Below are 21,404 nucleotides of genomic sequence, written 5' to 3' on the forward strand. Positions count from 1 at the left end.
TCAGCTGTTGGGCTTCACTGTCAAAATATTTTTGTGTGGAGAGCTGGCTTTTTTATTAGAGTATGGGTCCCTCAAATAATCTATATTTATCAATACCCAGAGTTTTTTCTCTGGAAGTCTATTCTTTAAGGTGGAGGCTAAGCAGCTGTAACAAAGATGCTCCCAAATACAGTGGTTTAAAAAGATAGAAGCTCAGACCTCTCTTATGTGAAATCATGTAGTTAGTGGTCCAGACTGGAGGCTCCGCTCCCTGTGTCCATTCAGCCAGGCACCTTTCTTTCATATTCGGGAAAGACATCATCATTCTCTGCCCATCCAAGCTGGGTCACAGGCATTTCCATGTTCTAGTTGATGAAAAGAGGTAAGAGCTGAAGTCCAGAACAACAGATTTCAAACAAGTGACACAGCAGTTCCATCCATGTTGCAATTCTCTATTGCTGTGTAATAGCTCACCCCAAAATAGTGATTTAAAACAGTAACACACCAATTTTGTTCACACATCAGTGGGTCATTAGGCCCTGCTAAGTGTTCTCACTTGGGTTCGTTCTCTTGTGCCATTGTAATCAGCTGGTTCAGGGGCTGGGGTCATCTGGAGGGCTTCATCACTCACATAGCTGGCACCTGGGCTGGGAGGACTTAACTAGCTGGGGTTGGAACAGCTGAAATTCTTCAGGTATCCCTTTCTCTCTGTGTGGTCTCGCCATATGGAAGCTTCAGGGCAGCCGGGATCCTTACATAGGTGTCTGAAGGCTCTCAGAGTAAGCTTCCACAGAGAAACAGAGAAGAACTGCTTGGCTTGTTCTTAACTAGCCTGAGGGCCATGCATGGTCACTTTTTCTGCCTTCTGTTAGTTACAATTAAGTCTCCAAGGAGAGAGCTTCCAGATCATCTCTTGATGGGAGGAGTGGCAAATAATTTACAGATGTGTTTTAAAGCTGCCATGACCCATCACTTCTGTTTACAAATTTCACTGGTGAGAAGATAGTTACCTGGCCACTCCTAGCCACAAGGGAAGGTGAGTCTGTGACTGGGCTGTTATGTAAGAAGGGAAATTGGATTTAGTCATAATAAATGCATAATTTTTAGTATAGGAGCTATTCAGCGTCTCCTCAAATAGGAACATTTTTTCTACTACCTACGCTGGACTACTGAAAAAAGGGCAAGGGAGTGGGTCTCGGTGGAGATGGCTCAACATTTAGTCCCCAGTATTTCACGTATATCCTCTCTTTTGAATGATATACCTCAAATTGCCTTCCACGTTGTCTACTCTTCTCAAGAATGTCCTCTTGAGAAGTTGAATTTTGCTGTCTGTTTTCCTGCAGAGATTAAGGAAGGGACAGAGGAAAGGATCTGGGGAGCTAATTAGTTCCATGTATGGATTTTAAAGTATTCTTCATTTCAAGCCACAAGCCTTGCCCCTTCTTAGAGTGTCTAGGTCCCAAGCCTTCCCAGAGTTCTGCAAGTATAAATTGCCTTTTTGTTGTTGGTTCATACTCTTCTGTAGGCCCCTAATATTCAGCTTCTTTTACATTGCAAAGCCGCTTAGAGCTCCTACATTTATCTGCCTCTTCATGTTGCAGAATTCATTGCTATATCTTCTCGACCTTTCTCTCTTTTTGACCTTTACTGAGTTATATCATTTAATGCTTTTAACTGTTATTTCAGTGGAGTATTAGCAGGGAGTGAAAATTATACCTATGTCATGTCTTCCACATTAACGGGAAGTCTTCTCATTTACGTTTTACCACTTCTACCACAGTCTGTTTGTTCTGGAATATAATAGCATGTTGAACTGGGTTAATTTTACAATAATTGACCCAGGTATCCTCTTTGCACATATGCTAGAAAATCTGTCTATAATAACTGGCCACTAAAGCTTTTTCAGATTAAAACTTCAAAAAACCTAATTCAAATGTTCATTGGCTTTAGATGATTGGGAGTTGAATTGAGATACTGGATTGACAATTTGATATGGGAAATATTCTGCCTCGTGGTGAAATTATTGGTGGAGAAATTTCTTTTTGGCACCTGGAAATGTCTCCCTGCACCTTTTTCGGCCATGGCAGAGTTTTGATATTTTACTTAAGTTTGAATTATTATTAACTGGGAAATACAGGTCACTATATAAATACAAACAAAGGTCAGAGTTCAAAACAAGTCAGACATATCAGAGTGGAATTGAATCATAAACTAAAGACTGAACAACAGTACTTTGGAGTAACAAAGGAACCTTAAAAGCTTACCTTGTAAACACCTTTATGGTCATGACCTTAGATGCCATAAACCACAGTCAATTTTTATTGGAATCAAAGTTTTTAAAAGCCCACCTTCTTCTGTGTACCTTATGGATTTACCCTATTTATGCAGTTATTTTGATATTTCACTAAAGTTCCCAACACTATAGCCACAGATGACATATATGCTGTAGATATTAGGGCCACAGATGTTATCTGAGACTCAATTAGAGAAATAAAAGGTGTACATTTAACATCACTCATACTTATTACCTTATTCTAATAATAGGTACTATTAAAGCTTATTTTCTTAGCAAAAGTAGAAATACAAATTAACCATCTCAGGCTTTTGTTTCCTTTCTTTTTAGAGTTACTATGGGAATCAAGTAACTATTACAGATCATGTAGAGAATCCATGATATTATTACTCTCTTACATTGATCATTTTCCCCCAAAAGTGTAAAATAAAAAGCTATTGTGGAAATAAGTAGTTCTGTCATCCAGTGGTGGATTTCATTCATGAATACACTTCACTACAAAAAGAATAAAATGTGGATTTGCCTTTTGTAGCTTTTCCCTCAGGGTTAATAATTTTCTAATTGAATGCAGCTGCTCAAAGATTTCTATTGCTAAATATATGTGCTATGTTGCAAAAGAGTGCTGCACTTTTAATCTTTTTAGAAACTGTTTTCAGCTTAATTACTTGGCTTTATTTGTACAACTTTATAACATTTTCAAATACTGATGACTGTACATGATAAAGGAGCTGACACTACATACAAGGCAGGTTGGTGGAATGGTTCAGAGCATGGACACTGGAATCAGGCTGTCTAGGTCCTAAGCCATGCTGTGTGTGACCTTGAGCAAGTTCCTTAACCTTATGCCTCTACCTTCTCATCCAAAAAACGGGAATGAATGAGAAGCATGATATAAAACCTAGTTGATATTCTATGTTACATACTGAAACTAAGTTTTCTATACTCAAAGTACATATTACGTGCTTGAGTCATATAAAGCATGTAACTAATGCTACTTTTTATTTCTGGTAAATAGGTGTTACTTGAAGAGACTTATTCTTTGGCCCTCCACCTTCTGACACGTAGAACGTAATGTAGTTTGGATACATACACATGCATCTAATGATAAATGTTATTTTTCTAAAGTGGCCATTAGGTATTCCTTTTCTGCACGTTAAAGTTTATTTTCTAAAATATTTAAATTTTTTTATGTTATTGCATGTCTCTAGTGACATTCCTAATATACTTTAGCTGTTTCAAATATTGGGCCTCCAATATTTTCCTCTGATATTTCCATTCATAAAACTCTATTGTTTTCAAAGCAAGAGCTCTGGGATTCTATCCAAAGCAATTACCAGGCAGAATGTAGTCTCAAAGCTTTCTTAGAACTGACAGTCTGTGGCATGTTTGAACAAACCTGGGTTTGAGCTTAGATGGGTCCATATGATTGACTTCTTCAATTTCAGACTTAACATGAGGAAAAGCCAGAGTGTAGGTGGGAATAAGTGGCATCTTTATATTTGGTAATGAGTTCAAAAAATATTATATTATGGCACCTTCTCTTTTGTTTCTCTTATATAGGCCTTACAATAGCCCTGGGATGCTGCAGGCAGGACAGGAATACCATTTTATTTTACAGTTGAAGAAACTGAGTTTGAAGAGTGTAGATATGTGATAGAACTGAAACTTGCCCAGTGCCCTTTTATGACTTGAATTTTCTTTATGAAAAGGTCTTAGGTTTTCTTCTTTTGAAACTGTAACTTAGAACTGCTTATGATGTTGCCATTCTCCACAGAGGATCTCATTAATAAAAAAAAATACAACTTTTTAATACCATGTAAATGGGTTACCATTTTGGGTGGTTGATGATCCAAATGAACCAATGTTTTATGCCAAGTGGAGACTTTTTTTTTTTTTTTTTTTTTTTTTTACAGAATTCCATGCTATTACAATACTAGTAATTGTTAGCCTGAAAGATTGGCTATTTATTTTAAGCAACTTTATTGAAGCATAATTTATATTACATAATATTTACCAATTTAAAATGTATAATTCAAACTTTTTAGTACATTTATTAAGTTGTGCAGACATCAACACAATCTAATTTTAGATCACTTTAATCACCCCAATAAAATCCTGCATGCCCATTTACAGTTAGCCTCTGTCCTGCCTCTAGCCCAGGCAACCACTAATCTACTTTCCGTCTCAATAAATTGTCTTCTCTGGATATTTCATATAAATAGAATAATACAATATTGGCCTTTTAAAACCAGCTTCTTTCATATCACATAATGTTTTGTGGTTGCTCTATATTATAGCATCTATCACTATTTCATTCTTTTGTATTACTGAATAGTATTCCATTGTATGGATATAACACATTTAAAAATATTCACATTTGTGTTGTTTCTACTCTTTGGCTGCTATGGATAATGCTGTTATGGGCATAACATGCAAATTTTGGCATAGACATATGCTTTCATTTCTCTTGGGAGCAGAGTTGTTGTCTTGTATGGAATATACATGCTGAACTTTTTAAGAAAAACTATTTTCCAACCTGACTATAGTATTTCACATTGCCATCAGTGATATATGAGAGTCCCTGTTTCCCCACATTCTTGCTAATATTTGATATTGTCTTTTTGATTGTAGTTATTTTAGTGGGTGTGAAATAGTTCCTCATTGTGGTTTTAATTTGCATTTCACTATATCTTTGAAAGTATTAGCCACTTGTATATTTTCTTTGGTGAAATGTTTATGTACATCTTTTTTGCATTTTTTAAAACTGTTTTCCTATTAGTGAGTTTCAAGAGTCCTTTGTACATTCTGGATGCAAATCCTTTATTGGATGTGAGTTTTGCAAATATTTTCTCCCAGCTTGTGGCTTTTCTTTTCAGTTCAATGGTGTCTTTTGAAGTGCAAAAGTTTTGTATTCTTATGAAGCCTAGTTTTCCAATTTAAAAAAATTAATGGATTATACTTTGGTCTTTTATCTAAGAAATCTTTGCCCTGTTCAGAGTCTCAAGATTTTCTCCTATGTCGTCTTCTAAAATTTTTATAGTTTTAACTCTTACATTTAAGTCTGTGACTCATTTCAAATTAATTTCTTTGGTATGAATAAAAGTCTAAGTTCAATTTTTTACATGTGGCTATTCAATTGTGCTAGCATAATTTGTTGTAAAAACTATGGAAATTCTTCATTGAATTGCCTTGGCATCTTTGTTGAAAATCAATTAAATGTAAATATTAGAGTTTATTTCTGGAATGTCTGTTCTGTTCCATTGATCTATAGTCTATACATAATCCTTATGCCAGTACTATATACATATATACATATATATATATATTTTTTTAAGACAGGGTCTCACTATGTCACCCACTCTGGAGTGCCATGGTGCAATTACTGTTCACTGCAGTCTCAATCTCCTAGGCTCAAGCAATCCTTCTACCTCAGCCTCCCAAGTAGCTAGGACTACAGGTGTGCACCACCCTGCCTGGCTACTTATTTTTAATTAAAAAAAAATTTGTAGAGACAAGGTCTCACTGTGTTGCCTAGAGATCATTATAGAAAGAATCATTCTCTTAATGTGTCCGTAACTGGTTCCTTCCGGTGGGTTCTTGGTCTCGCTGACTTCAAGAATGAAGTCACGGACCTGCATGGTGAGTGTTGCAGTTCTTAAAGATAGTGTGTCCAGAGTTTGTTCCTTCAGATGTTCAGATGTATCCGGAGTTTCTTCCTTCTGGTGGGCTCGTGGTCTCGCTGACTTCAGGAGTGAAGCCACAGACCTTCACAGTGAGTGTTACAGCTCTTAAAGGTGGCACATCTGGAGTTGTTTGTTCCTTCCAGTGGGTTCATGGTCTCACTGACTTCAGGAGTGAAGCCGCAGACCCTCGTGGTGAGTGTTACAACTCATAAAGGTAGTGTGGACCCAAAGAGTGAGCAGTAGCAAGATTTATTGTGAAGAGCGAAAGAACAAAGCTTCCACAGTGTGGAAGGGGACCCAAGCAGGTTGCCGCTGCGGGCTCAGGTGGCCAGCTTTTATTCCCTTATTTGACCCTGGCTATGTCCTGCTGATTGGACCATTTTACAGAGCACTGATTGGTGCATTTTTACAGAGTGCTGATTGGTGCATTTACAAACCTTTAGCTAGACACAGAGCGCTGATTGGTGCGCTTTTACAGAGTGCTGATTGGTGCGCTTACAAACCTTCAGCTAGACACAGAACGCTGTTTGGTGCATTTTTACAGAGTGCTGATTGGTGCGTTTACAAACCTTTAGCTAGACACAGAGTGCTGATTGGTGCATTTACAAACCTGTAGCTAGACACAGAGCGCTTGCGTTTTTACAGAGTGCTGATTGGTGCATTTACAATCCTTTAGCTAAACACAGAGTGCTGATTGGTGCGTTTTTACAGAGTGCTGATTGGTGCGTTTACAATCTTTTAGACACAGAGCGCTGATCAGTGCATTTACAGTCCTCTAGCTAGACAGAAAAGTTCTCCAAGTCTCCACTCAACCCAGGAAATCTAGCTGGCTTCACCTCTCATTAACAATATTGAGTCTTCCAATCCATGGACATAGAATGTCTCATCTCTTTAATTTCCTTCAGTGATGTTTTATAAATTTTAGTGTATAAGCCTTGTCCTTCTTTTGTTAAGTTTATTCATAAGTATTTTTTATTCAGTTTGAATAGAGTTTTTCTTTAAATTCTGCTTTTAGAGTTTTGACTTCTAAGACAAAGAAATGCAATAGATTGTTTAAAAATATAGACTGAGTGCAGTGAACTCCTGACCTCAGGTGATCTGCCCGCCTCCGTCTTCCAAAGTGCTGGGATTACAGGCATGAGCCACAGCGCCCAGCCCCATACTGTGAGCTTCTACTAGGCAGAGAGTACTGCAAGTAAGTTTTACTCCAACATTTACTATCCAGAAAGTCTAGAAAATTCTATTTAGCTCCCCTTGTCCCCCCGCCCCCCCGCCAAAAGAGCTCACAGTATGTTAAAACTCACTTGGGATATAACAGTGGGGAACTGAGACTTTTTTTTTTTTTTTGAAATGGAGTCTCCCCCCATCACCAGGCTGGAGTGCAGTGGCATGATCTCGGCTCATTGCAACCTCCGCCTCCCAGGTTCAAGCAGTTCTCCTGCCTCAGCCTCCTGAGTAGCTGGGACCACAGGCGTGCACCACCATGCCCAGCTAAGTTTTGTAGTTTTGGTAGAGACAGGGTTTCACCATGTTGGCCAGGTTGTTCTTGATCTCCTGACCTCGTGATCTGCCCACCTCGGCCTCCCAAAGTGCTGGGATTACAGGTGTGAGCCACTGTGCCCGACTGGGAACTGGGACTTTTAATGATCATTGTTACCCCTTATGTCCAGAGGCCACTCCTGGATTTTTACCATGGAAAAAGCCATTTTTCCAGCAAAAAGGAAAATAATATAGCAAATACCCTTTAAAGTACCAAGGAACCATAAAAAATACCCTTAGTTAAATGAATAGACTATTAAGTGATATCAGGAACTGGCCAGTGTCTTTTAGCTTATATTGTCGAGAGGACCTGGTTCAAATAGTAAAGAGATACTACTTTTCTGTTTCTTAAAAACTCTGTTTTAAGATCCACCTTGTAGGCTATGTCGAGTGCTCTAAAATCCCAACCCCTGGGGGTTAAATATCATTTTTTCATTTTCATATTTATTTGTATCGTGTATTATTACACACCTTAAGTAACTACCATTTATTCAACTGTAAGGTGCATGATAAATATTTATTGCATTCTTAAATGTGATTTTAAAATTGTATTTTCACACTGTAACTTTTCTTCTGGGAACATGTGTCCAATTTTATAAGGCAAGCCAATTGGACAATATATTTCAGTAAACGCACAAATCGGTTTTGTACTTCAGTTTCCAGTGAAGCACAGCTATATTTAGGTCCCTCAATGGTGTGAGGTTTCATAAAGTTCACAAGGAAGTTACAAGTAGGTGAAAATCTTGTTCATTGCATTTTAATGGGTTTATGTTACAGTTGTTGTAAGTGGGGTTCCTAAAATTGCTGGTGGATGAATTTCAGAATTATACATAACTGGGCATTCATGTGTTGGATGCTTGAGTTCAGAGAATCAAATAGATTCTCATAGTGCGACCCAGAATACTTATGTAGAGTATTGAGTATTATAAGCTGATTTTAAAAATCAATAATTGCATAATTCAAATGAAGTATAAGTTCTAAAGTTCTTAACATGTTGCTAATATGCCAGTGGATGCTTAGCTGGCAGGTTCAATAGTGCAGCCTGCTGCTCATAGCATGTCTTGTTTGGCTGGTCATGAAAAATCACTTTTCAAATTAGAACTTAATAAAAACTTTCCTGCTCTGAACACTAAGCTCCACTCCCTGTGCGATTAGTGGTTTCATTTCTTTCTCAGCAGTTGGGTAATGATTATGGCTCCAGATGCAGTGAGAGTGATAAAGAGATTGATTAATTTCACTTGAAAGGGCATATGTTCAAAGAGAATCCGATCTGAACACCATGAATGATCTGACATGTTTGCAGCTGAGAATTGTGTATACCCTTACTTTGTGCCCCACTAATGCTGAGACCAGGATCTCTAAACCAATGTTACTAACCCACTTGGTCTGTAAAATATTGGTCCTTGCTCATACCTGTTGTGTACATGTGTGGATGTGTGTTTGTTCTTACTGCCTTTCTCTTTGTAGTAAGTTACTTGTGATAGCTAAAAAGTTTCCTTTGGCTCCTTTACCCTTGAGATGGCTTTGAGTTATGTGTTGTTATCGATCAATAGAACCAAAGTCATCTCTGAACCATGGCTTAATTTAGATCACACTACACACACATACACACACACACACCACACAACAAAATCTCTTTGTATTTTTGTTTGAAAAAAACAGTTTCAACATTGTAGCTGTGTGGCTATTGAGAAGGGCCTTTTATCACATTTTATAAAAGACCAAAAAGGGATCTGTTTCCTATACCTAATGCTTTTTCAGCTTGTGTTTATTTGGTATTTTTTATTTCCAGGGAGCACTATTTTGCACAAATGTCTTTACATACCACTCACTTTCATTTTCATGCATTATGTAACCTTTACAACAAATATTTCATGACAATTTTAAAGTGATTCAAAACTTACATTTCAAGAGAAAAATGTTAATATCTGTAAAAATCATAGGCTCAAATTCTGATGAAAGAAAGATAAGGGTGCACAGCTGATTTTAGCATGGAGCTTGAAGTCAATGAGTTTTGCTAATGAGTCTGCAAATGAGTAGGTGAGTATATGTTTTTAGATAAACAAAATGTATCTACCCCCCATGCAGAAAGTGTCTCTTATATACAAATCTCTATTGTAAGGTATGAGTAGAAGATTAGAAAAAAGTGTGATACTTGGAAAACTATCTTCATAATGTTTTACTCAGTGCTTGTGTAAAACAGAAAAGCCTTCTTATTCCTTGGATTTTTTTTTTTATTGTTTTAATAGAAAAACAAAGTTTTGATCTGAAATGTCTTAGGTTATTTTTCCTGCCTTTATCCTTAAATCTTAAGTTTCTGATCATGCAGTAAATATTGCTTGGGCACTTATTATGTGTCAGATGCTGTGCTGTGAGAGTTACAAAGCAAAGCAAGACATAGCTACTGTTTCCAAGTCGGAGGGCTGCCATTTAATGATCCGAATATGGAACCAGTAGACTATGGCCTGTGAAGGCCCATGCCGAAGGAGAACCAAGAAGAATTGCCCTGTACATTATATTGACGTAAAACTTTTCACCTTTTAAAAATATATTATTTCCTTAATACTTCCAATTTTTTAAAAGCTCTAGAATATTATCTGAGAAAGCCCATGTGCTTCCTAATTGTTAAATTCTGAAGTAGACGATAAGGTCACTAAAGGATGCTAATGAGATGAATGGAAATGGGAAATTTGAGAAGAATTTTATAGCTATTTAAACACTCCTCACTGCTTAGGTTAAATTTTAAAAAATTATTGGGGAAGTGACATTAGCTCTTTAAGTTCTTTTGATATTTTGAAGACATTTCAGTTAGAATGAACTTTGACAAGGAGAAATTCCCCCCAGGGAGTTTTATTTATAGCACATGAGAAAGGAATTCTGTGTTCTCACCAGGATTTCTACAAAGCAAGGATACTTTTTAAAAACTTTTCCTTGAAAAACATCTTGTATTCAGCATTAAAGCCAGCGATGCATTAAAAGGTAGGCTTCACCGTCTCTTATTTATCTTTGTTAGACTCTGAGTTGTTTGCCCTTGATTGATTTTGAAATAGACAAGCCAGCTTTCAGACCAGAGAATGATTTAATTATTACAGAACCTAAGGCCCAAAATCAGATTTGAAGGTATGTTGAAGCAGTGTTCAGAATGAATTAGTGGACAGATGTAGAGTATATGTCACTGATATTCGATACCCTGGGCTGGCCCAGAAGTAGTACATTTCCCTGAAGATCTTCACCTCTAAACGTCAGATGCTTGAATTTAATGGTGCCACTTAATCTACACTTAAGTCAAATCATGGAAATTCTAGAATCATTAAAGGGTCTAAAGCTGAGAAAACAGAGGGAAGGATGCATGCAGGATATACTGAATTTATCGGATATATAGGGGTCTTGTTTAGGATGACTAAATTAGCAGTCTGAACTTTGATGTCAGAACTGACACCGGAGATTAGCGAAAAGTACAATTTATGTTTTAATAGTTTCAAAGGTCATTGTCATTGTTTGGATCGTTATGAAACATATATTTAAGCCAATGTTTTTATAGAGTTTTCAAGCTGGAGGAGATCTTCAGCTCAGCAAACCTGGCCTCTTCATTAACAAGTGAGAAAAATGACGGCAGGAAGACAGGTTGGAGCAGCAGAGATGGAACTGGGCCATGCGCCCTCTGAGTCTGTCCTCCCCTTTGCATTCTAAGTGTGGTTCACTTTCTTCTTCCACATGCGCCGAGGATAGGGGTCCAGAGCCTGCCATAAGGGAGTGGAGGGTGGACCTTCGTGGTATACATTCCACATTTTACAATCTAAACAGTAGAAAGTCATGAGAAAAATAGGAGGTAAAGTCAATGATTCAGAAGAGGGTTCTCAGTCACAGGAGAAAGGACAGATGAAGAAAATATTGTGGCAATGTCTGCAGTGATGTGTTAGAAGGCCAGGATTCCTGAACTGTCATTGGATACAAAAGCACCTGGGAGACTGGCCCAACGTCAGCGGCTCTGGAACCTGTGAAAAGAAGCAGCCACTCCATTATATGCACATGGGAGGAAACTTCATTTTAAAATCAATGCCAAGAATGACCAGTGTTACAAGCTGGTCCAGCATAGAGGCATTTTGAGATTGGATGAAATTGGCTTGTGTCCAGCTCTGTTCGTACTAGGGTATGAGTGTGGCCCAGTTGTGCCTCCCTGCTGTGCCTCAGTGTTCTACTGAGTGCTCTATCCCATCATTTACTTGGTGAAAGTTAATGTAGCATTTACGATGGCCCTTGCCAGATTATATAGAATAAGGTTATTGACAGCTACCCCAAAAAGGTGTTTTTTTTAAAAAAAATATGAAATTAGATAATATATGAAAACACAGCACAGTTGCCTGGCATATATTAAATGCTCCGTAGGAGATAGAATCATCACTAGTGTTGAACTGCTAGCATAGGAAGACCAAGTTTCTAGCTGAGGAAAAGGAGTAAGGTGATCAAGGATCTGATGTAAATAGGCAAAAAGAGGTTATAAGGAGATAACATGGTTTTGAAGGCAATCTTTCCTTGACACTTAACAGGTAATTTTGAGGGTTCTGTTTTGTTGTTGCTGTTGTTTGTTTGCTTGCTTGCTTTCAGAATTTTTTTTTTAATTAAGGAAGAGAATAAAGTGTTGTAACATATGTTTTTCTCATGTACACCTCAAAGGTGATGCTGCCACAGAGCAGGGGTATGGACAAGATGGAGGTCTTTTACCCTACTTCACCCCAGCCCTTTATCCTGGGTGACAGAGGCACATGGCAGGCCAGCACCACACCTCACCCTTCAACCCAAAGGATCAGTGATTCTAAGTTGCACAGATGGAAGGATGCCAGCCTCTAGCTCATTATCACAGGGCCAGAGAGCTAGGCTAGTGCCTCCAGGGAGGTTGGGTACACTTGTTAAGAAAACCCTTTACCAATTAGAAATAAATAAGACATGAGATTTCCGTGGACTCCCAGCACAGTGGCCAGGGCCACCACCTTACATGAGGCTCTCAGGATAGGTGGCAGAAAGCATAGAACTTTCAAAGGAGTTCTCAGTACCCAGCAGAGTCTTCCTGTGAGGTGTGTGTGTGTGTGTGTGTGTGTGTGTGTGTGTGTGTGTGTGTGTGTTTGTTTGTTTCTGAGCTGGGCCGGCAGCATGATTTTTGTAAACCTTAAAGCCAATGACAAAACCCATAGTCCCAGCTGTGTCCCCAAATGTTCCTCAAGGAGGAGGGAAGAATAAGAGGAGGCCTTTTATGGGCAAGAAAATGTGTTTCTCCTTTAATTAAATAATATTCAGTGTGTAGCGAGAATATTAGGCAACCCCAGCAAATGTGGAGACGGGGAAGTGGTGACATTGACTGGTGGTACATGCCTGAGGTATCCTGGCAGTGGCAGAGGTAACCCACCCTGGGATAAGCCTGGGCAGTGTGGGAAAGTGTCTGAGTAAATGAGTCATCCAGTCATCCTGATCCTAGACATGGAGGCAGATGCAGAGAAGCAGAGGCAGTGGCTGAGCTCAATGGGTTAGGGTAATGTGCAGTGACAGGGGTCACTTACCACCCCAACCACTGGAAGGGTTTCTACTCAGAAATCCTTCTGGGGCTGGTGCTACAGGAGACAGGGGCATGTTCTGGTAGGGCTGCTGAAAAGTTCCCTCTTCTGTTATGGGCTAAGCGTCTATGAAAATAACTCCATGTTCACCAGGATTGGAAACAAAGTGCTTGGAACCGGGCAGAGGTTCCCTGCCCTGTGGCAGGGGCCATCTTCTTCCATGTCAGAACACTCAGGGGTGGGATAGCTGGTGCTGAGCTTATGACAGTTCATCCCAGGTGAAGAGAAGCAATGAGTGATCTGGAGATCCCAAGGAACCTTCAATGATTGGCCCTGGGGTCTTACTGGGAGATAATTCTGAAGGAAATGAAATAAGTTGGATAAAGAAGACAGAGAAATCTGAGAATAAAAAAAGAGAGAGAAAAAAAATTATTTGCTTTCAGCAAATGCATGTTCCATTTGTTGTAATTCTTTTGTTTTTGCTCTTCTGAGAACTTTAGTGTCCTTTAGCCTGGGGATTCCACAGACTCATACAATGTTGGAGCGGTACAGCCTCTTCTTTTTCAACTGGAATCTGTGGGAGGGGAAGTGACTCTTTCATCCACTACTTCCTTGGCTTTCACCTTCACACTTACTGTGTAATGCGATCCTCATGGGAACCTTATGAACTATGTAGGTGTACCTTACTCTCCTTCTGCATGTGGGTTGCTAAGACAATGCAGGAAATCACTGGTAGAGGTGAAATGAGAATCCAACTTTCCAAATAATATATCGAGCACTCTTATGATCATTCTACTTCGTTTAGTAGTGAAATCCTACCCAACTCTACCTTCATTCCTTTAGTTGGCTGTCAGGCATTTATGAGGCATCTTCCATGGTACTTATTGTGTTCTAGGCCTTGAGGATACAGTGATGATTCCCTCTTTCTTCACTCTGAGTTTACCATCTAGTTGGTGAGGCAGCACAGATGTAGACAGTTATTGAAAGAAAAGCTAATAGAGGTATGTCAAAAGCATTATGAGAAGACGAAGACAAAGGTTTTGTGAGAAATATTGTTTTGAACAATGGAAAAGAGCTATAATAGCTATGTATACTAAATACTATGCTAAGTGCTTTGCATGAATTATGCCGTTAATGTATTAGCAAGACCATGTCATTGGTCCTAAATTAACAGTCAGGTTTGTAGTCATCCTGCCTAATCATGTTGGTGCTTATTCTCTTCACTAAGCTTCAGTAGCATGTTCTCCTATCTAATACAATACTGCCTATCAGGAATAGTCTATCACTTTTGGTTGTGGGCAAATATGCCAATGATAACCAGCAATTTGAGACAAGTACATCATTAGGCATTGAGACAAATGATCATTATGGATAATGTAAAATTGAGGGAGCATGTGGTCTCCTGCAAAAACAGAACTCCAGGGACAGTCAGATCGAAAAAGACAGTTGGGGCTAGCATTGGAGCCTCTTATATTAGGGAGGGGAGGGAGGCATGCATGTGCCTCTGAATCTTGAACACCGGGTGAGGAATACTTACAGCTAAAGGCAGAATCAAGCTGTGACATTTTGTTTGCCTAGGCAGCTCTATGAGTGCAGACAGGTTTCCCCTCAATAGTGAGAAACACAGTCTCAACATTCCAATGCATTGAACCTGGCCTTCTCTGCCTTTCACACCTTCTGCCCTGCTCACTGTGATCCCTTTTCTCATTTTCTTCCATTTCTTAATAGGGGCCTTTAAAAATATTTTTTATTCACTCTTTCATTCAATTTCCCTTGTGTGGAGTGAAGTTTTAAGAGAATCTGATTCTTCCAGATAACGCTCAGTGTTCAGCAGCAGACAGATATTCTTTATGAGAGCTTCCTAACTTTAAATACCCAAAGCAAGTTCTGAATATTGGCTAAAAAGATAAAGTATATTTGTGTGTGTTTGTGTATAATATATACATGTGTTTGTATATCATCTATACATCTATATCCATTTATTGAGAGAAAATGAGAACAGGGTAAGATGCAGTGCACAGCTGAGTTTATTATTTTTGTACTTGCAGGACTTGCCAAGTAGAAGAAAGCACTTATTGGAGAGGGGGAGTAGAGTCAAGCAAATAAACCTGAGATTTTTAGGATCATTTTTATAAGTCTTGAATTCGTTGATGATGTTAACAAAAAAGTGAGTATGGATTCATCAAAATAGTGATTTGGTATATTGATATATTTGACTGGGAAGTTCTACTGTAACTTTTCCAGAATCCTTCACTGTTTTCTGTTTAGGAAATAAAGAATTGACAGGTGACTCTGCATGAAGAATGGAAGAGGAAGAAGTATGACAAATAATAGTGATCTTTCTTTTTAGTGGTCCTTTGAGTTTTTCTATCAAATTTTCACTCAAGTAGTTATGGCAATATTAGTTTAGTTTTAAAATGAAAATAAAAGAAATAAAAATAATGTGAAAATTATTCTTAAACTTTGTAGAAAGTATGAAGCTATGCAAACTTTCATTTACAATAGTCACATATTCATAGATTCCTTACATTTCAAGGTTTTTTTTTTTTTTTTTTTTTTTTTTTTTAGAGGGTCTGACTTTGTCACCCAAGCTGGAGTGCAGTGGTGTGATCTTGGCTCACTGCAACCTCCACCTCCTGGGTTCAAGCAATTCTCCTACCTCAGTCTCCCAAGCAGCTGGGATTACAGGCACTCGCCACCATGCCTGGCTAATTTTTGTATATTTAGTAGAAACGGGATTTCGCCTTGTTTGCCAGGCTGGCCTCGAACTCCTGACCTCAGGTGATCCACCTACCTTGGCCTCCCAAAATGCTGGGGTTACAAGTGTGAGCCACCACTCCTGGGCTCAAGGTGTCATTTTTATACAAGTTTTCTCAATAAGAACTGTCAAAAACATTTGAATATATTTTTTATTAAAATGGGCAGAAAGAGAAATATAATTTAATTCTGTACAGAATTAAGTAGTCACCAATATTTATTTTCTAAATCAATTACAAAGGTAGAAATATTGTTTTAAAAATGTAAGTGAAAGTTTAAAGTTTTTACTTATTTTATCAGATCTGTGAAAGTGGATACACTTCATTCTACCTATATTGGATCACAGGAATTTGATAGCCAACAGAAAAAATTCAAAACAAAGTAATAAAATGATAAATAAGAACCATGAAGGAAGTCATTTATTTCATGCCTAAGCAATTAAACTGTTATTATGTTAGTATTATTTATACCTAGAAGTGAACATCCATTCAGTTCCATCAACTATTTTAGTAAATTACTAAAAATCTACAAAGTCTGAGAATTTTTATTTTGTGTTAAGAGAAGCTGAAGTAATAATTATGGTCTCAGATACTGACAAATTGGCTTTTTCTCCTTTTGCAAAGGTAACTGCTGTATGTTGCTGACCTACAAAGATTTCAATTTAGAGGTTTGTGTTTTTTCTTCTGAAGCTGGAAAATAAATGTCACCAACATTAAGCAGTAGGATGTTGCTTTCAGTGCAGTATTTTAGGTGATAGTGGTGACACTAATAGAGGAAATTTGGCATAGGCAGCTATAATAGATGAAAAAACATTTATCTGAAGTTTTTTTTATTTGCCTAAAGGTTTGGTATCTTACAGTTCTCAAAATTGAGTGATTTACTTTTCATTTAATCTTTTCACAGAATTTGACAGCCTTGATTTAAAACACTTCATTTTTTTAATAGTTTTAATGTGTTTTGTAGACACATGTTGCATATGGTTGCCAAAATTTGCTTCCAGGAGCTCATTTTAAATCTCTAGAACTATATTAAGTTATTGTGCCATGTACAAAATTAATAATAAATAAGTCAAATTATATTAAGAATTTTCACATAATGTGGTAGAAATAGCAGCAATAATAATATTTATGTTGATTGGCCAGTTGTTAGATTTCTGATTGCTTTTACATGCTTTATTTCATTGAATCTTCACACACAAGAAAACTATGAGATTATCATCCATATATTACATCTGAGGAAACTAAGTCACGTAGTGAAATGAGTAGCAAAATTGGAATTTGAACTAGAATATAATTGATAATAGACTTGTGCTTCTAAGCAACTGCTTTGCAAATTGGGACACTGAGTTTCCACCTGGGATTTGATATGACTGAAATCCATCAGGTAATCTGGAGTCTAATTTGGAGATGATCTTCCCTGGGGAGCCATATGTCTGTACATCAGCCATCTAGGATTGAGTTTGCACATATTTACCAATAATACACAATTACTGAATGAACACAGAAAGATGGACGTGATTTTGAATGAATGACATAATACCTTAGGTAACTGGATTGAGTCAAAGCAACCCAGCTAGTGCCGAGGCTGAGTGAATTCCAGTTTTCTTTATGGGGAGGAAGTAAGGCATTTTGAGGCATGGCTACTGAGGATTATGTTTTCTGAATAAATAAGAGTAGAACATCATTTAACAAGTAAACTTATGGGAACAACAGGAAGGATTAATTAAAAGTGGGCCTATCCTAGTCTGGGCGCGGTGGCTAACACCTGTAATCCCAGCATTTTGGGAGGCCGAGGTGGGAGAATCACTTGAGGTCAGGAGTTCGAGACCAGCCTGACCAACATGGCAAGACCCAATCTCTACTAAAAATACAAAAAAGTTAGTCAGGCATGATGGCATGTCCCTGTAGTCCCAGCTACTAGGGAGGCTAAGGTACAAGAATCACTTGAACCTGGGAGGTGGAGGTTGCAGTGAGCCAAGATTGCCCCACTGCACTCCAGCCTGGGTAACAGAGCAAGACCTTGTCTCAAAAAAAAGGTGGGCCTCCTAGAAAATGCACCAGAATCATCACTTTCAGCTTATAACACCCAAGGCAAGGACTGAAATGAGGTGTACAGTTCTAAATGCTTGAAATGGCAAGATGGCATGGGAAGATTTTGGAAAAATGAGGGGTGGAGGGTGGGAAATGAGACAAAAAGAAGGAACAGGGAGGAATAGCAAGATAACTTTCCTTTATCCAAAGATAAAGTACTGATACTCTACTGTTTGTGCTCCTGGAACAGAAACCCTTTGAAGGCAAGGCCATTTCTTATACATCTTTGTGCAATAGTTTCTTCCCGCAAAGTTGTGATTCCAGAGTCTTGGTGAGTTTTGAGCTCAATAAATGCGTAGTGAGCAGAGAGGAATGAATGCATGATGAAATACACAAATGACTTTGGAAAATCCATTTGAGCTTATATTTATCCAAGAAACACAGAATACTAATCAAGCAGTATCTAAAATGTAGTCCAAAACCATATTGGAAATAAGGGGAAAAGTGAATGAGGTTGTTAATCGAGGGCTTATGAGCATGTCCTAAACAATGTTTGAAATTACTAAATCAGTACAATCCACACGATGCTTCCATATTTGTAATATGGCCAGACTACTTACATTCTTTCCTGTTGTTGTTATTGATTGTTTTGTTCTAGTTTTGCTATTGTTACTGTTTGGTTTTCTTTACTATTTCCTTAGGGGTGAGCACAGATTACTGGCATAATGGGAGGGCATGCTGAGAATCCTGAGAGTGTAATAGCCTAGGAATGTGGTTGGCAAACGAACAGGATCAGGTCTTCAGATATATATTAACTTTGAGGCCCCTCTGGGGCCTGTGGGGAAATATCTCTGCTGGCTTGAGCACCTTTCAAGAATAGTGCTTTAGGTTTCAGCAATCTGGGAGCAGTTTCATGGAGAAAGAAGAGTCCAATAGTGTGTCCTCAGTCTATGGAGTAACTCTGCCAGGAGGGAGAAAGCAAGGTGAACTACAGACAACTAGAGTGGAGTATAAACAAAACATGCTCTTTAGCAAAAGGTGCCAAGCAGGAGTGGAGCCAAGAGGGAATGAAAAGAGTTCAGAGAGGAAGGGCTAAGAAACAAAACTGGATGTATGGTTCTAGAATGAGTCTTGGCCATGGTAGTGGCATACTGGGTAGTGGAGCTTTTAGGAATGGGGGCTTGTGTTCACTCACATTTGGGATTAGTCATTTACATGTGAGATTTAATGATACCAATATATAGTCAAGATTATAAGTAAGTTGAACCTCAAGAATGTTTTTATATTTAAAAAATGTGTTGTTTTCTAACATGCACATGGGTTTTGGGATTATTGACTTTGTACAGATATAACTTAAGTAGCCGAAAAATTGATGGTCCTGAGGTGTTAGTGAATGTTATGAAAATATGTCTTTATCCAAAGGCTTTTTAGTACGTGGAGAAGAATCAAAGTGCTTTGCATACGTGAACAATTCAGGAGTTATGAATGTGGATTCTGGAAACACATAAACATGAGTTTGAATGCCGGTTTTGCTACTACTTTGCTGGTTTTGCTATTTTGTAAATATTACCCCAAATGATATAATTTTTAATGATATTAATTTAACGATATAATGATATATTTGATTTTATAATGATATATGATTTAATGATATAATTTTTAAATGATATAAATTTTGCTACTACTTTGCTGGTTTTGTTATTTTGTAAATATTACCCCAAATTATATCATTTATTTTAGTACCCAAATTATATCATTTGGGGTAATATTTACAATTCACTAAGCCTTTATGTATAAAATCAGACTTTAAGGTACCTTAATTATAGAATTATGAAGATCAAATGAGATATGATGAAGATATTATGAAGATCATGCTTTGTTCGGTAACTAATACATACTAAGGGATGATGCTGAAATAACTTGGGAAATATTAATTTTGGTCAGCAAAATCAACTTTAAGGTTGGCTTTTGGCCAAGGCACATACTACTATTTTCTGTAAGGGCAGGAAAATTCATGTTTTGCTCTTAGAAATCTTTAATGTTTGTAACCACTGAGAACATTTGGAGTGATGATTATGTTGATATGACCCATATTAATGTTGAAATTGCTCTTTAAATGCCATTCATTAATAATTCTTTGATCATCTGTGTGTTTAACAAAATTGGTAAAATTGCTTTCACTGTTTCTTTCTAATAAAAACCTTTTGGCGTTCCTCTGGAGATTTTATTGATAAACTCTCCCTTAAGCATACATCCAAATTAAATGTGAGAACCTGCAGCTAAAAGAAATTGCTTCAAGGCAATGATTCACTAACGTGAAAAATCAATAGCAGTTTCATTAAGGAAGGAAAGATACCTTAGACATACTCCTACCTAGCTTTCTTCATACTAAAAAATGGAAACAGTTGTTGATAATGTCTTTCCTTATAGATGTAATGTTCATATCTTAGTGCCATGCCTGCTGTATAGCAAGATTGTATGTGTACCTTCTACTCTGCTGTGATTCTTGAATAGAGCTAGTCTCTGCATTTTGAGAAACTGACACTCATTCAAATCACAGTTTCTTTAATAATGCATGCCATGCTACTACTACTACAAGAGAGCGCTTTACAGCCACCAAATCCTACGGATATATTTGAATTAGTTAAATTCCAAATTTCTAGACATATGCTTTAATTCCTTCTTCCTTTCCATCTACTCCATGGTTGATAGCTAGATGAGGGGAGGGACAGATGGATAAATGGATAGATGGATGGATGGATGAATAGCAGGTCTGTGCATTACTGATGGATTGATGGGCTGTTGGATAGCGGAATGCAGGAAGGGAAAGAGGGAGGAAGAAAGGAGGGGCCAGGTGCAGTGGCTCATGTAATCCCAGCACTTTGGGAGGCCAAGGTGGGCAGATCACCTAAGGTCAAGAGTTCTAGACCAGCCTGGGCAACATGGCACACATGGCAAAACCCCATCTCTACTAAAAATACAAAAATTAGCCGGGTGTGCTGGTGGGCGCCCATAATCCCAGCTAGTCATGAGGCTGAGGCAGGGAAATTGCTTGAACCTGGGAGGTGGAGGTTGCAGTGAGTTGAGATAGTGCCACTGCACTCCAGCCTGGGTGACAGAGCGAGACTCCATCTCAAAAAAAAAAAAAAAAAAAAAAAAAAAGGAGAGAGGAACTTAAAAGGTTTAACACAGTGGTATGTGTGCGAGACTCCCTCTCAAAAAAAGGAGGGAGAAACTAAAGGGTTTAACACAGTGGTATGTGTGCTTTCCTGCTGTGTTACTCTGGGCAGTTGATTCAAGCTCTATTTGCTTTGGTTTTATCACCTGTAAATAGGTCATAATAATATTATTAATTGTTATGGTTTAGCTGTGCCCCCAGCCAAATCTCATCTTGAATTGTATCTCCCAGAATTCCCACGTGTTGTAGGAGGGACCCAGTGGGAGGTAATTGGATTATGGGGGCCAGTTTTTCCCCTGCTATTCTTGTGATAATGAATAAGTCTCACAAGATCTGATGGGTTTATCAGGGGTTTCTGCTTTTGCTTCTTCCTCATTTTCTCTTGGTGCTGCCATGTAA

At 38.1% G+C, this 21,404-nt stretch overlaps 1 protein-coding gene across 2 annotated transcripts in view; it reads left to right on the forward strand.

Annotated features, from left to right (window-relative positions):
• Positions 1–21,404, forward strand: part of THSD7B (thrombospondin type 1 domain containing 7B) — a 912,174-nt gene that overhangs the window by 125,815 nt on the left and 764,955 nt on the right. The window contains exons 1-2 of one of the 2 annotated variants that reach the window (XM_047445935.1): positions 9,673–10,473; positions 15,089–15,207. The exons of the other annotated variant lie outside the window; for it this stretch is intronic. The gene's annotated coding sequence lies outside the window, so the exon portion shown is untranslated. Of the gene's footprint in view, positions 1–9,672; positions 10,474–15,088; positions 15,208–21,404 lie in introns of those variants that run through there. 2 annotated transcript variants of the gene reach the window in all.

Source organism: Homo sapiens, chromosome 2 (genome assembly GCF_000001405.40).
Source record: "Homo sapiens chromosome 2, GRCh38.p14 Primary Assembly".
NCBI classification, from domain to species: domain Eukaryota; kingdom Metazoa; phylum Chordata; class Mammalia; order Primates; family Hominidae; genus Homo; species Homo sapiens.